Here is a 17,222-nt window from a genome sequence, read left to right on the forward strand (position 1 = left end):
ATCTCAGCGGCTCCCCATAGCAACTGACTCAGAAACCTCTTTTCCTTTGCCCTGTTTTCCAATACCTAAGTGAAAATCATGAAGAGTTTCTTTCTAAGCAGGTTTGGAAAGTCTGGCGTGAGAATGAGTGGACTAATTTATATATATTGTACTTTAACAAATTCATTTTACCTCTTTTCAGTTACACCTTTTCCTTAAGCAAAATTATATATAATGGTTCTGCTATAGGGCCTCTGTAACAGACTATATATATACTGGTATCTTAAGGAGATAGTAGGATAATTTAGGATAGCAGTTTGTGAACTTTTTGAAACCATGGATCCTTATAGATGACTCTTCAGGAATTCTAACCCCTGGTCAGCCCTAGGGGTAGAGGGTAAAGGTAGTGAAGACGACCTGAATAAAGTATGGCTACTGGGCCCCATAAAACTGTTGATTGTTCTTCAAAGCCAAATTTCTAGAAATGTAGAATAAAACACAAAAGCCAAAAAAAGTAGGGTACAATGGACTAACCTAGTGAGTTCCATCCTGTGTGTTCCTCACAGGACTACCGGCCACTCACTAACCTGTCTGTGACTTACGGGTACAATAATACCCATAAGTACAGAGATTTGGTGATGGGGGATAAATCTTGCTTCACTTGGAGAATGTAAAACAGGCATCATAATAATCATAGGCCCTACAGCGGGAGAACTATCTGCTGTGGATTTCCTCTCACAGCTTTCATTTTCTACTGCGCTGGAATCTACGGGAAGTCTGCATTCCCTGGTTCCTGCCTCCATGTCCACCTCCGCTGATTAAGACCTTTCAGAAGCCACAGTGAGGCACACAGCTCTGGGACTCTCTCTGTGCTCTGTGCATGGACTGGTTTACAAACACCCATCTGGAGGAACTGGAGCAGCCCCACTGCTGGAGCATGGGTGGCTCACGCTTTCCTTCGCCCCAGTGAAGCAGGTCTTCTAGATGTGTAAATGGCATTTTAGTAGAGACCACAGTTGTTTAAGGCAAATTCCCTTGATGGCTTCTGACAACTGTGTCTTTACTCTGATAGGAAACTCATTCCTGGGACTGAAGTATATACCATTCAGTGGATCCCTTACCTTTGTTGGCTTCTAAAGGCTGCCCAAAGGGTAACAGGAATGAGGGAGGTGTGAGAGACATAATGATCTGTTCTTCCTGCACCCTCACAAACTGCAGCATCCCTATCAAGCACTAGCTAGTGATTCTGCACAGCACTCTTAGGAGGAAAGCTTTAAAAAATTATGTAAAATATATACAACATAAAATTTACCATTTTACCCATTTTAAGTGTGCATTTCGGTGGCATTAAATACATTCACATTGTTGTGCAACTGTCATCATCATTCATCTCCGGAACTCTCCAATCTTCCCAAACTGATACTTAATATCCATTGAACAACAACTTTCAATTTTTCCATCCTCCCATCCCCTGGCAACCACCATTCTACTTTCTGACTCTGTAAATCTGACAGTTCTAGGTATCTCATATAAATGAGATATTTAATATTTGCCTTTTTGTGTCTGGATTATTTCACTTAGCATCTTCAGGGTTCCTCCATGTCGTTAGCATGTGTCAGAATTTCATCTTTTTAAAGGCTGAATAATATTCCATTGTATGTATTAATATACACCACATTTTGTTTATCCATTCACCTGTAGATGGACACCTGGGTTGCATCCACCTCTGGCTACTGTGAATAATGCTGCTATGAACATGGTTGTACACACATCTATCTGCTCAATTCCCTACTTTCACTTTTTTTGGTATATACCCAGAAGTGGAATTGCTGGATCACTTGGTAATCCTGTTTAATTTTTTTTGAGGAACTGTCGTACTGTTTAGTATTTAATTTTTTAAATATATGCACTTTATCATAAAGAGCAGTTTTAGGTTCACAGTAAAACTGACCAGAAAGTACAGAAGTTTCCCACATGCCCCCTGTCGCCCTCTGCCCCACAAGATTCAGTTTTATAGGCACCCTACTCACTCGGTGACTGAACGCTCGTCCAAAGACATGGGGAGTGATCCAGGCAGGTCCTGCCAGATCCAGCAGGAGCCTGAAGCCATGATTCACCTAAGGAGTCATGACAACTTCTTTCCTTCCTGACCTGTAGACAGGAAACTGACTGACAGCAAAGGTCATCCCACAGGAACACTGGATGTGTAAACGTGGAGATCTGCGGAGTGGCAGAGCAGGAGAGGGCGCTAAGGGGCATTTGATCCAACCTCCTTCTTTCACTTTATGGTGAAGATGTCTCATAAACTGATAACCTTCCTTCCAGGAATGCAGTGCAGAATAAACTAGTGCTTGTTGGAGATGGTATATTTTTGAGGGTGGAGTAATAATAATTACATCACTCACAACTCTATCAGCCCTAATCCCAGCCCTGTTACCCTTTGGGCAGCCCCCAGAAGGCACCTCTGGGTTAATTCCATTATAGATCACTTTTAACACTTACTGGTTTTTGTCTTATTTTTCTGATATTGGGGGTTTTATTTTAAACATTTTAACATATACCTACTGTACATTTAAGTCTATCTCCAGGATTTTTGACTCTATTAATGTTGAGGCAATACATATGTTCTTTCTTTGCTTGGCAATTGCTTTATTAACAGTGATTATTCTCAACTCCAGAGAGTTATAATAAGAGAACTGTAAATCCTAAGTGCTACTCTGAATGATAACATCTACCATATCCAAGTAAAATGTTATAAATCACAGTGCTTATCCACAGATTTAAAATGCCCAGAAATTTCTCAAATGTTTCCTGGACAGTATCACTCATACTATTTTTACACTCACATCGACTCAATGAAACAAAAGAAAAAATGCTGTTTCAAATTCCTACAGTCAAAGCTCAGAAATATACAATGCATATATCTATTCACAGGTACACATGTACATTTGTATGTATGCTTACATGTGTCCAAATGTACATTTGTTTAGTCAAACTCTTCTACTTTTTTCTATTAACGTGGAATAAATTGTTCTTGTCCTCAGCAGTTAGGCAACGGGCCTGTTCGAAAGCTAACACCACAACATGATGATTCACAAAGTTTTTCAGTCTTGAGAACTTAGAATCTCACAAAACCTGGACTTGCTGGCTTGAGTTACTCATTGGAGGTGTGCTTCCCTTCCCATGTGTGTGTTTTTTTTTTATTTTTAACTTTTGTGGGTATACAGTAGGTGTGTATATTTGTGGAGTACATGAGATGTTTTGATACAGGCATGCAATATGAAATGAGCACGTCATGGAGAATGGGGTATCCACCCCCTCAAGCATTTATCCTTTGAGTTACAAACAATCCAATTACACATTTTACTATAAAATGTAAGTTATTATTGACTATAGTCACTCTACTGTACTATCAAATAGTGGGCCATATTCATTCTTTCTATTTTTTTTTTTTTGTACCTATTAACTATCCCACCTCCATGCCCTGCCCCCAACCCCCACTACCCTTCCTGGCCTATGGTAGCTATCCCTCCTACTCTCTATGTCCAGGAGTTCAAGTGTTTTGACTTTTAGATCCCATGAGTAAGTGAGAACATGTGATGTTTGCCTTTCTGTCCCACATGTGTTTTGTAAATCAAATCACATTTAAGTGTGTGAGGGGAGGGATAATGCTATGATGACTCACTCTGAAAGGGAACAATGTATTTCCCAACTCAGGGGAAAAAAGATTTTCTCTTTTGAGTGTGTCTAAAAGCATGATGAGCACACCTGCAAAAGGACTGTAGCTGTTGTTTTAGCCTAATAACAGCACTATTAGTCACACTTGTTGAAAACCAGGGGCAAAGAATGGCTGGTACTAGCAGCTCTGGGGTAAAGCTGGCACAGAATAATGGCATCAACTGGGCTGGACTTCCAAATGTGAAGGTGCTAAGTGAACCTTAAAACTCTTTTCTGAGACATAAGTCAGTGTATTAAGCAAAGCATTAAATTTCTTAATTTAATGCTATTTATTACTCAAGTATATACAGTTTTCTACCTTTTTCATTATTTCAAGCACATGAGTTAAAGCAGTGATTCTCAAATTGGGGTCCCTGGACCAGCTGCATCAGCCTCACTTGGAAACTTCTTAGAAAAGCAAATTCCTAGCCTGTACCAAATCTACTGAATCAGAAATCTGAGCTTGAGGCCCAGCAAGCTGTACTTCAACAAGCCCTCCAGGTGATTCTGATTCAAGCTGAAATTTAAGAGCCACTGAGTTAAGGAACCACCAATATACAGATTCCAACCTTTGCTCAATGATAACTCTCCAGCTCCTTTGTTAAAAAAAAAAAGTAATTCATGTGTGCTTGGGCTATTTGTTACTATCACCTAAGAAAATATTTATCATTGTTTAATTAAGGAAAATAAACCCTGGTCAAAACTTACATGTAATTTTTCCAGGTCCTGTGCTGCCTTCGAGTCTTAGGATGCAGGGAACTGGGCGAAGGGAGAGATGAGAAGGCTCTGGCAATCCATTCAGACATGGACCCCAAAGTTTTGTGGGGCAACCTTGTGACAGGTCAGTGAGTGTCCACCTAATTGGGAAGGAAAAGTTGTCCATTAGCAGATGAAAGTATGCATGTGAATGTTTCCCCCTCTCTCCTGCTATCTCGCCATACTCCGTTCTGCTTGTTATGATCTCACACAACTGTCTGTGTCTCTGGCTGTCGGCCTCTTGACCAATCCTCATGAACAGAATAAGACACCATAGCCCGTGGTAGAAACGCCTGGGCTCTGCCTACTAGAAGCCCTATTCCTTGAGGTATCTCCTTTAGGTGAGCAGCCCTCACGAGGGGCTCTCCTGAATCCAAATGCAGCCTAGGAGATAGGTCCATGTCCAGTAAGTTATCACCTTCTATATTTCATCTCACGTTTTCTGTCAGCAAATCAGAACACCTTGGTTTAAAAGACACATGTGGCCATTGTAAATAGAAGAGATTTGGGAAGCAAATGATTTAAGAATTCTGACCGAAATGAGATGATTCCCTGATGCCTCAAATGTGTTTCGTTTTAAAATTAATATTTATTTTTTCAGATAACTTAATACATGCTTATTGTAGAACATTTGAAACATACAGAAAAATAAAGAAAAAAATAAAGATCAATGGTAACCTTGACACCGATAAATCACTAATGATGTTTTGTTGTATGGGTCTGAAACTCCTTCACCGAAACTCTTGGGGCCAGATATATTTCAGAATTCAGAATTTTTGGATTTTAGAGATGCAGCTACCATTTATTACATTAGTATCTTGTGAGAGTATGGAGCAGCACCCTATAATATTAAATATTAAACATTAAATATTTGTGCACAAAAATAGATGCATATTCTTATTAAGTGGGGGTAAAATAGAGCCTCACATTTGTTCAGGCCAGGTTTTCCTACCAAAGAAGTTACTAAAAATAGAACAAAACAAAACCCCTTTTGATTTCTGAAAACTTTTAGATTTAGAATTAGAGATAAGGGATTGTGGGCCAGTATTCTTTTCAGATACATGCACATACTCAAAGTATTGCTTCTACTTTTTCATTCAATTCTGAAATAAAATGTGAGTTATATGAATATGAGTATTTCCCCAAGTTATTAAAAATTATTCAAAACATGCTTTTGAATGTTCATGTGTATTATACCCCATAGAAATACATCTTATGTATTTATTTCCCTCATTTTTGGAGTTGCAGATTGTTTTTTTCTTTGTTATTGTAAATAACACTTTAGGGGATATTTCTGAATATCAGATTGTCTTGAATTTCTGAACATTTTCTTACGCAGGTTCCCAGAAAAGGAATTATTGCATGAAAGGGCATAAACTTTGAGAGTCTTGATTTTCTAGAAAGATTGCACCAATTTATATTTTTTTTCAGCAGCATGAATGCCTGGTTAATTATGAACCTTATCACAGACAGAGAAAAATACACTTGCTCCTCACGCAACTTAACAAAATTCTAATCAATGATGATCAAATGTAAGATATTTTATTTTTGTTTTCCTTACACAGAAGATAGTGAACAGCTTGCTGTTTTTGACATAGCAAGAGAGAAATGGAGTTAATTTTAGTTTACCATCAAATGACCCTCATTAGGCCAGACTGAGTTAGATGTGGACAGTGGGGGAGCTGTGACTTGTCCATGGGGTCTCCACATGGAAAAGCATGTGAGAGAATTCAGAAATAATTCCCATAATATCGTGAGAAGAAAAACCACTGATTATTTGTGGGTTGATAATTCATCTTCTAGAGTAGTGAGGCCTTGTATTTTCCTTCCTTCTGGGGTTTTCCTATTTCTTGGACATTTTGCTCTTCCTCAGGATGGCATCAAAAAGCAGAAAAAGATGCAAAGACAAAATCAAATCAGAATAGCTAATAATAATGGCTAACCCTTATGCATGATTACAGTGTGTCCACTCCAATGCCAGGTCCTTGTATGTATTATCTCATTTAACGCCAAGTGCATTGGTAACAAAACTGGTGGCTGGCAAGTTTGAAAGTATGTGCCCACTCATTGGTCCTCCTTATTCCCCAATAAGTTTGTAGGAATTTGGGCTTCAGAATTCCAAAGATGTATTCAAGCCTAGTGTCTCATTACTATGTTGACTCATTGCCTAGCTATATATCACAAGCTTGATCTTTCCACTCTTTGGTCAGTACCATCTATAGCATCTAAACGAAGCAGAGAAAGTCTAAGAAAATTCTAGACAATAGTAAACCCTTTGAAAGTCCTATATTGACACGGGGAAGGCTATAGCTCTTTGAGCACAATAGAGAAGTGTGAGGTAAGAGTGTTATATAACACAAAACAGGTTATACATGGAGAAAGACATGAAGACACAGATAAAATACACACTTGAAAAAAGAAACATACAAACACATTCTTCCCAAATGTGGCTACGAATTAGGAATGCTAAAGCAGGTCTTACAGCCCCAGGTTCTTTTAGATTTATAGCTTTTTCTAATAATCTCTCTTTCTCTTTCCCCTTTATGTATATTTAACCTTACAGGATAACTGGTATAGAGAATGCCACAATTTTCATATGCTAATAAAAGCAAACTGAAGTGACGTTTGTTTGTTATATTAAATGAAATAACCTCACTCTTTCACTTATGTATAAACTCAAATTTCTGCACCCACTAATACTATAAGATGGTTATGGTTTGAGGAGTGGGGGGTGCAAAAAATTTCAATCCTATTTTGGGAGTGATTTAAATTGATCTTTCCCAACAATCTTATCTAAAAATAAGGATTGTTTCTATCAAAATGATCAAAAGACCAAAGAGAAGTGGACCATTTCCTTCACTGTGGCTTTACTTCATAATTTAAGCATCATTTTCCTGATAATTAGGTGTCAACGCAGATAGAATAGCTTATAAATGATTTTTCTTTGCCACATTCAGGTATATGCCTAAGTTTCTAAGCAGACCAGAGCTACAGGGAGTGAAAAATAAAATGGTAATAGAAGAAATAAACCCTCAAAGAGTATACTTTGTTTTTTCCAAAGGGCCTAACTGCTTCAGGGGAAATACAAAAAACAAACCACCATTAATAACGCAAACGATTACCAGACACTCCTTGGATACTCAAACTGTACAACTATCATTGCAAAGCTAATTACAAATTTGGATTCTCTCATTTTAAAAATATACTTCGAAGCAACCCACTTCTGTTTCAATGCTGAACCAAAGTCTGTGCAATTGGCACACTGTCAAAGTAAAAAAAAAAAATATATATATATATATATATATATACACACACACACATTGCATCACTTGCACTTGAACAAAGTTATTACTTTCAATGTCACTAAATCCTGAACTGCAAAACACCGCAAGCTAAAAGCAAGTAATGCCACATGGTATATTATCTTACATTTACAAAAGAGTTTATAGTTTTCCAAGCCACAGAGATACAGACTTTCCCACTCACAGTAGCTTTGTTATGCTGGGCACCCCACTCACTGCCTCGGAGCCTACTACCTCTCACAGGTTCTTGTGGGGATCACATGAGAATGTATACAGAATTTTTTTTGCAGATTATAAGACATACATAAAATATTAGGTATCTTTTTTTTAAACTAAACAACTTTGTGAGGCATAAAGATATTAATCGCCATTTCATAGTTTGGAAAAGAACACAAGAAGATGTAACAAAAAAAGTACTAAGTTAGAAGATCTGAGTTTTATTTCTAAATTGGCTACGAACTAGCTGCCTGACTCTCTGGGACTTGATTTCTTCAGTAAAACAAGGGGGTTGGATGAAATGACTGTAAGGTCTTTTGGAAGCCAATGGATCTGTGATGTAGGACGTGGCCATGGTAGTGATGGGAGTGCCTTAGGAAGTAATCCCTCCTGGAGGCCAAGGAACCATGAGGCCAAAGGTAGCATCCATCAATCTGAGGCCTGCAGTGCTGGCGCAGAGTCCTTGAGCAGCCCCCAACTCCCAGAGATGAGACAGACATTAACTAACTCATTTTGCTGGACTGAGGGGAGGTTGGTGGAATCCTAAAGGAATGGCCAGGGTGTCTTGGGCATTGGAAAGAAATACCGAAGAAACTTAGGACAGCAGGTCTTTATTAACTGGTACAGGTATTTTATAACTTTAACAACTGGTATAGCCAAGTAAGTATATACCAGCTGTCAGTCTTGCTAACAGTTTTACTGTTGTTTGTCTATCAGTCTCAAAGAGACGGCCACCACTGAGGGCCAACCACCTTGCTTGGCTAAGTTCCTACAGCATGGGGGGAGATGTGTAAGAGGGCTCTTTTTGGTATTATGAGTGCACATCAGGGTCACATGGGAATTTGACTTTAAAAAGACACTAACTTAGGCCTCTACTAATGCTATTCTACTAACACTGTTTAACACAACTTTCTGTAATGATGGAAATATTCAATATCTCTGCTGTCCAATATGGCAGCCACATGAGGATACTGAGCACTTGAAAAGTACCTAGTGAGAGTGAGGAACTGAATTTTTAACTTTAGTCAATTTAAATCAACTGAAATTTAAATAGCCACATATTGTTAGTGGTTAGCTGATTGGACAGTGCAGCCCTAGGTGGCTTCACATATTAGTTTTCTTGGACCTATTTCAGACTCCAGAAGCCCACAGGACAATACCCAATATAGTCCTTCAATAGGTATTCACTGCCCTTCTCCTAGGTGCTGGGCCATGTTTAGGTGTCTCAGAACAATGGTGAATAAGAGTACCATGGACACTTCCTGCCTTGTGGCATTTTGCGGCTAGATTGATTTCCGAAGACCTCACAAAATCTTGAAGTAGCTCACCAGACTGCTCTTAGGAAAAGGTGGGTGAGGAGATATGGTAATGCTACACTAAGCATGAAAGCACTGCTTTTTCATTTCTTCGTATTTACTGTTAGAGAAGTTGGGGGAAAGTTTAAAAAGAGGTATCTGAATGGTTACTATTCATTCTCTTACAAGTAAAGTAACATATCCCAGATATGGGAAATTATCTGTAGGTAACTACCTCTTGCATAATCTTAACCTTACTTAAAAAGAAAAGTCCGAGGAACCGCATTCTGAAGCTAAGAAAAGTAAATGGTATTCAATTACAGCAACAGCCGTAGAAAAAGTACAAGTGGGTCTCCAGCTGCAAATGGTGGGCAAGGGAGTGTTCTTACCAATTAGTTGTGAAATGATCAGGTTTTCTAGAAGGTACTTTTTGTATAAGTAAGGCTGATTGAATTCTTTATCCCAACTCAACTCTTAGCTAGGATTTTCTTAGTGGCTTTAATGGGATTTGATGAGGAAAGCCCCATTTGCCTGTCCCCAGGAAACTACAGGTGAAAATATTTCTATTTACATTACAAATCTAATACCAAGAACATAATTTCTAAGAAACACAAAAGTGGTTTAATGATCTGATTTCCAGTGTTGCTCTCAATGTCCTCCTGTTGTCAATTCTCTCCTATCCTAATCACCTCTTCCTACCTTATTGGGATCTGGAGTGACAGAAAAAACACAAAACATGATATTCAGGTTTGAACTGAATCCAGGTTTGCCTAAACTTCAAGGACGGGACACTGCATGTTGGGATACAGAATTTTTAAGCTAATTCTCTCCATTGTATTAATATTATCACTGGAGGTAAAAAATTTACCAAATAAAACAATCTGATTTTGCTCAGCATCCCAAGGGGATCATGTTCAGCATCTCAATGGGAATGACACCAGTCAGCCAATCTTTCGAGCTTCACCATGCCACTTCTGGTTCCCCTGCCCTAAGTCAGACTTTTGATTTTTAGGGCTAATAAGTGACTCTTCCACAACTATACACACACACACACACACTTTTTTCCCCTCTGGATTGAGTAGAAAGACAATTTAATACAATGGTTAGAAAACAAAATAAGACTTCAAAACTTAGTTCTAAAAATACAAATTGCATTTAGATACCATTATCTTCTTTTTAAAAAGGTCAAATCTCAAACGTTCAGCTGGTTCCAGGCTATATAAAAATATTACTGAAAATCTGATGACAGCTTTGGTAACAAACATCTTGAGAGTGGCCCTGAAATCCTTATTTATATTCAGAAACACTAAGTGGAGTAGTCGCACGCCATTTTATGGCTGAAGGGGTTCAAAAGGAAAGAGGTCAATTGATGTTAATTGTTAATTTTTTGGAAATTCAGAGATGAAGTTTTTTTTTTTTTTAAACTCTTATCTTTCAAACAGAATTTAAACAGACACTTGTATAAGGCAGAACCCCTTTGAACCACAGATCTTGTGGCTTTTGTGTTTTATTCTACTGGCATGGAAAGGTGATGAAAGAAAGTGGGCTTTTTTGCTGCAACAGAGAAAGAAGTGGGGAGGGAGATGCAGTTATTTCAGACAGGATGGCGAACATTAATTGAGATTAAACAGCTCTGAAAGTTTCCACTTCAACATTTCAGGTTCTGGGACTCTAGCTGAAGAACCAAAGCTAGAAAATTCACTTATTTGACATTCAAGGTGTTTAAGTTCCCAAATACAACAAAGAGGTTATCAGATTTTCACTTCTATCATAAAAGGATGGTGCAGGCAGAACTACTTGCCACTAACAAGCCAGAAAAATAAAAAGTGTGATAGAAATGTGTTGAAAGTACATAATTTGAAATAATTCTTGGATTTCTGCAGACTTTATACATAAAAATTGGAATACTAGCCTGTATTGATACATCATCACCATCACCATCATCATCATCATCATCTCCACCACCACCACCACTGCCGCCTTCATCATCTCCATTTACTGAAAATATCTATTTGCTAGGAACTGTGCTAGAAATTTTACAGGAATTATTAGCCTCTCTGGTACATGAGAGAACCCTGACTCAGAGAGGCAACGTGTTTTGCTTAAGGTCATACTGCTGGAGACAGGACAACATGCAATCTGAATCCAAGCTGGCCTGTCAAGGCTACCTCCTTTCCTGTACAACACTGCCTTCCTCTACAATGTGGGGAGACTACATCCTTCTTCTGCGAAGGAAACATGACCACTTTCCCATGTGCCACCAGTAAAACATGAAAGTAAACTGACAAGGCTGCAGGTCCCACAGCAATTTAACTATTTGTATGAAGAGTTTTAGTGCTAAAATGGTTATAGTTCATGAAGCATAATTTCTTACTTGTTATATATTTCAGTGTCGTTTCTGTCCCTTGACTATGCAAAGCCCTTGCCTGGCCTTGCCACCTGCTTCTCTCTCTGCCTAGAATTCCCTCCCACAACCCTTAGCCATGCTGGTTACTTCTCCTTCACTAGGTCTAGTTCAAATATGTCACTTGCAGAGACACTGTCCTTAATGTGCTCTGTCCTCTCCCAAACAGCTAGGCATTGCCCTGCTTGTTTCCATCAAGGGATAACCAAAATCCACATGTTTATTTACTGTATAATTACCTATCTTCTCTCTTGGTCCATGTAAGACCCACAGCAGCAGGGACCTAGCTTCTCTTGCTAACCATTGATACCTGACACTTGGAATAGTGCCTGGCACAAACTTGAATGAATGGCTACACCAATACATGAATGAAGATCAGTGTTTGCAGAGTACAGTGACAGGTACACATAGAGGAACCAGAGGAGAGACATTGCCCTGGGGATCTGCCTTTGCCAGCCCTCGAGTCCTAGGCCAGAGTTCATCTGCTCTCAGCTTGAACCCTGCCTGGAGACTGAGCATACACCTGCACTTGGCCCTTGGCCCTCTTCTCCTGCTGCACCTCCTGACATAGCCTCTTCTTCCCCAACAGAGGCTCTTCCTCACACGATGAGCTCAGCTTCTCTCCCTGGATCTAATCTCTACATTCCCACCACCATCCACCTCGTATAAAAATCAATCGTGCTTACTTCTCCTGTGGTCACATACCCTTCAGATAATCTGGGGCCACGGCCTTGGGTTCCATCACACCCATAACCATGTGGCACTGTCAGGGCTGACTCCTGGCTTGTTGCATGCATCCCTAGTCCAGCCTGACATCCAGCACCAGGCTCTTTCCCAGCCTTCTGTCCTGAGCCACCTCACTTCTTTCTCCTGTCTGCCCTCTCTTCCCAGGTCCAAGCTCATGGATGACTCTTGGCAGGCTGGGGAAGAGAAAGAATGTGGAACAGAGGAGAGAGAAAGTCAGAAGCAGCAAAAGCTGCTGTGTGTCCACATGGGAAGCCCGTGGACTACATCTGTCCACGAGAATTTTCATAGTGTTCTATAGATTTTTTTTAAAAATAGTGAGTTTAAACTATGGATCAGCAGAGCTGAAAGGGACCTTGGAGATCACTGAGTCCCACTGTCTCACTGTACTGTTGAAAAACCAACATGTGAGTAATGGACCGAGGAGGAAGAAGGCAGCATTTGTGGAGGGCTTAACATCTGCTTTGGGATATAGGGTCCCAGGTCCCATAGCCAGTGAGTGGCAGAGTGGGGACCATGCAATGCTTAAATGAGCACTTCTACCCCATACACACTTTGCCCTACGACTTACATATTCATACCACGTGTGGGAAAGGGTGTGGCATTTACCACATAAAGATACTTGGAATTCTTGCCTCAAAGGGTAAGTGGGTTTTCCTTCTGTATTAGCCGATATACTTTTTAAAAATTATGGTAAAATATCCAAAACGTACAATTTACCACTTTAATCATTTTTAAGTATACGGTTCAGTGGCACCAAGTACATTTGTTTCGTTGTACAGCCTTCACCACTATCCATCCAATACATTTTTAAAGTGAGTATTTTCTAAAACTATACATCCAAAACAAGAGTGAAGGAAACAAAAAAGAAGTAGAAAGAAAAGACAGGTAGAAAATAAACTTTTGGGCATGCATTTCAGCTGACAAAAACCTTTCATACGAATTAGCTTCTCTGTGACATATTCATTATTTTCCTAGTAATGAAACGGGAACTGTGAGACACCATGTGAAAAGGCGGCTTTTATTGTTTCTCTAGGTTCTATACTAGCTGTATCCGCTTACAAAAATGTTATACAACCCAGTACATCACAGCCTTCCACGCCTCCTCCATAAAAGGACAAGTAAAATAGTATTTCTTGGAAAGACAGGCATTTACCAATGCACTGCATCTAGATGGAGCTGTCTCCATCATTCTAGTCTGTTTCTAAACAGGGTTTTAAAGTCTTGGCACAGAACACAAAGAATGTCCCTTAGCTATTCAGCATTTAGTTCAGCTCCACAATATATTTAGCAAGATTTCTTTGCCCCCCCCGCAACCCCCACCCTTCCCTTCTTGGTTTAATGACCTCAAATGTACCAACATCCTGTCTTACCTAATCCCCTAACAAGTTCTATCAAATGCCAGGACAGAATCAGACAGCACTGCAGGCTGTGAGATCATTCACTAAGAATTCATTTTTATTCCAAAAATTAGGAGTGCCAGACCATTTAACACAATCTATCACACAGCCAGAAAATTAGCCTAGCGCTTTAAGAGAAACATTTAAATAACTTTTAAATATCTTCTTCCTGACATAGATTCTTTAAAAACCTGAAGACTCTCTCCCCAGAACCAGACGCATAGACACAAAACATTTCCACATGATAGCAAGAGCTCAAGGACCCTTTGAAGACGATGTAGGCCCCCTAAGAATCCATAAACCTCAGGTTAAAATCTCTTGTAAAAGAACTCCAGTACTTCTCTTTGTCTACAAGCCCCTGTACTGGATCCTGATCCATGGAGCATCCAGGGTAACTTCTTCTGGGGCCACTTTTGTCTCTGGATGAGAAACGACTTGTTTCAGCTTCCGGAACACCCCTACGTGGCTTCTGGTCCAACTGACTGTCAACACGGCTAGGCCTCTCCCCAATTCAGCTGGCTACTCTGGGAACGTTCATTTCTCTTACTGGTCCATGACATGCTGGCTCTACCCCAGTGTTAGGTTTTGCTTTTCAATTGGCAATCTTGGATCCTGTGGTCCCTTCTGTCTTCCTGTCACTTTCCTTGTGGTCCTTGTGGAACTTTTGTTTTAAAAATTAAACCTGTTTTTTTTTTCTTTATCATAAAAGCAACGGCCTCCCGTTTGCACTTAATTCCTTTGTTTTTTCTCCAAAAGCATACTTCAGCCTTCATACCTTTGTTCTTGGGAAGACTTTGCCCACCTCTCTAAGTGGCAGGTCGTGCCACTCTCTGTTCAGTTCGGGACAGGGTTTCTCCTCCAGGAGAAGTGTGGGGCAGTGAATTAGGAATAAGCCTAAAGTCAGAGAGACCCAGGTCTAGTCCCAACATAGCTGACTTTGGCCAAGCAATTTGAACAAAGGCTCAGTTTCCTGATGTGAACAAACAAGGAAGATTAAAGCCAACATATGCTTTTGTTTTATTTTTTTTAGACAGGGTCTTGCTCTGTCACCCAGGCTGGAGTACAGTGGCGTGATCATAGCTCACTGCATCCTCGAACTCTTGGGCTCAAGCGATCCTCCGGCCTCAGCCTCCTGAGTAGCTGGGACTACAGGTGTGTGCCCTTAAAACTGGCTATGTTTTTTGTTTTTGTTTTTTAAGGAAGACTAAGAGAGCTGATATGTTCACAGCTTCTGAAACACAGAAGGTATCTAGTAAATGGTGATGATCATTTCATTCCCTTCTAACTCTTCACATATGGGATTCAGCATACATTCTATATTTTAGAAGCAACTCCTGCTGCTTTCTATTAGGTGGCCAGGACCACTTACGTTTGGAGGCTTAGGCATTTTTTAACAGGTTTATTGAGATATAATCAGCATATCATACAATTCACACCTTTAAAATATACAATTCAATGTTTTTTAGTATATTCACAGAGTTGTGCGACCATCACCACTATCTAATATCAGAACATTTCCATCATCCAAAAAAGAAAACCTACACCCATAGTAGTTACTCTTCATTTCCTTTCCCCTTCAACCCTTGGCAACCACCAATCTACTTTCTGTCTCTGTGGATTTTCCTATTCTACACATTTTGTATAAATGGAATCATCTATTATGAGGCCTTTTGTGTCTAGCTTCTTTCACTTTACCATATTTTCAGGGTTCACACTTGATGTAGCAAATGTCAATATTTCATCCCTTTTTATGGCTGCATAATAATCAATTATATTCATCTACCACATCCTGTTTATCCATTTATATCAGTTGATGGATATTTGGATTGTTTCCACATTTTAGCTATTATGAATAATGCTGCCAAGAACATTTTTGTATGGTTAGACATATTTGGACATGTTTTCAATTTACTTGGATATATACCTGGAAGTGAAATCGCTAGGTAGGATGGTTAATTTTATGTGTTAATTTGGCTAAGTCACCATACCAAGACTTGTGGTCAAACATGTTTGGGTGTCGTTACAAAGGTGTTTTTTAGATGAGATTAACATTTACATCAGTAGTCTTTGAATAAAGCAGATTACTCTTCATGAGGTGGGCCTCATCCAATCAGTTGAAGGCCTTAAGAAAAAAGGCTGACCTCTCCCAGGAAGAAGGAATACTGACAGCAGACTCCCTTTGGACTCTAACTGCAACATCGATGCTTCTCTGGGTCTACAGCCTGCTGGCCTACCCTGCAAATTTTGAACTTGCTAGTCTCCTCAATCATGTAAGCCAATTCTTTAAAATAAATCTGTCCCTTTCCTCTCTCTCTCTACACACACACACACAGACACACACACACACACACACACACAGACACACACACACACACACACACCCTCTATTGGTTCTATTCTCTGCAGAACCCTAACTAATATACTGGGACAAATGGTAACTCTGTATTTAACATTTTGAGGAACTGTTTTCCAAAATGGCTGTAGCAGGACAATCCCACCAGCAATGTATAAGGGTTCCAATTTCTCCACATCCTCACCAACACTTATTACTGTCTTTTAGACTTTAACCATCCTAGTGGGGGTAAAGTGGTAACTCACTATAATTTTGATTTGCATTTCCCTAATGACCAATGATGCTGAACATCTTTTCATTCACTTACTGGCCATTTGTATATCTTTTTCTGAGAAATGCATATTTTAGTTGTCCATTACTTGTCTGGGTTGTCTTTTGAGCATTGAGCTGTAAGAATTCTTTATATATTCTGGATACACATCCTTTGTCAGATACATGATTTGTAAGTATTTTCTCCCATCTGTGGACCATCTTTTCACTTTCTTAATGGTTTCCTTTAAGCATGAAGTTTTTAATTTTATGAAGTCCCATTTATCTAATTTTTCTTTTGTCTTTTGTACTTGTGGTGTTATATCTAAGAATCCACTGCCTAACGCAAGGTCACAAAAATGTATCCCTATATTTTCTTCTAAGAGTTTTAGAATTTTTGCTTGCATTTATTTTTGTGATCCATTTTGAGTTAATTTTTGTATATGGTGTAAGGTATAAGTCCAAGTTCATTCTTCTGTGTGTGAATATCCTGTTGTCCTGGCACTATATGTTGAAAAGACTGTTCTTTCCTCATCAAATTGTTCTGGAACCCTTGTTGAAAACTTTGAGCATACGTGTACTGTATTCAAGACTACACTATCTTATAGGATGTTTTGAAAAAAGGAAGTGTGAGTCCTCCAATTTTGTTCCTCTTTTGCAAGATTGTTTTAGCTATTCTGGGTCCCTTGCATTTCCATATGAATTTTAAAATCAGCCTGTCAATTTCTGCAAAAATGCTGCAATTTTGATAGGGATTGTGTTGACTATATAGGTTTGGATAGTTTTGCCATCTTAACAAGTCTTCTG

At 39.3% G+C, this 17,222-nt stretch overlaps 1 protein-coding gene across 2 annotated transcripts in view, besides 1 other annotated feature; it reads right to left on the reverse strand.

The window, feature by feature from the left end:
* The window catches only part of BACH2 (BACH transcriptional regulator 2), a 370,316-nt gene that overhangs the window by 158,029 nt on the left and 195,065 nt on the right, over positions 1-17,222 (reverse strand). For both annotated transcript variants that reach the window (NM_001170794.2, NM_021813.4), the window contains one exon: positions 4,405-4,553. The gene's annotated coding sequence lies outside the window, so the exon portion shown is untranslated. The remainder of the gene's footprint in view (positions 1-4,404; positions 4,554-17,222) is intronic.
* Positions 1,974-2,268: an enhancer, noted in NCBI's record as "tiled region #1684; HepG2 Activating non-DNase unmatched - State 13:Ctcf". NCBI's record gives its function as "activates a minimal TATA promoter and a strong SV40 promoter by Sharpr-MPRA in HepG2 cells {active_cell/tissue: HepG2}" and the evidence as "EXISTENCE:reporter gene assay evidence [ECO:0000049][PMID:27701403]".

The sequence above is a fragment of the Homo sapiens genome, chromosome 6, assembly GCF_000001405.40.
Source record: "Homo sapiens chromosome 6, GRCh38.p14 Primary Assembly".
NCBI classification, from domain to species: domain Eukaryota; kingdom Metazoa; phylum Chordata; class Mammalia; order Primates; family Hominidae; genus Homo; species Homo sapiens.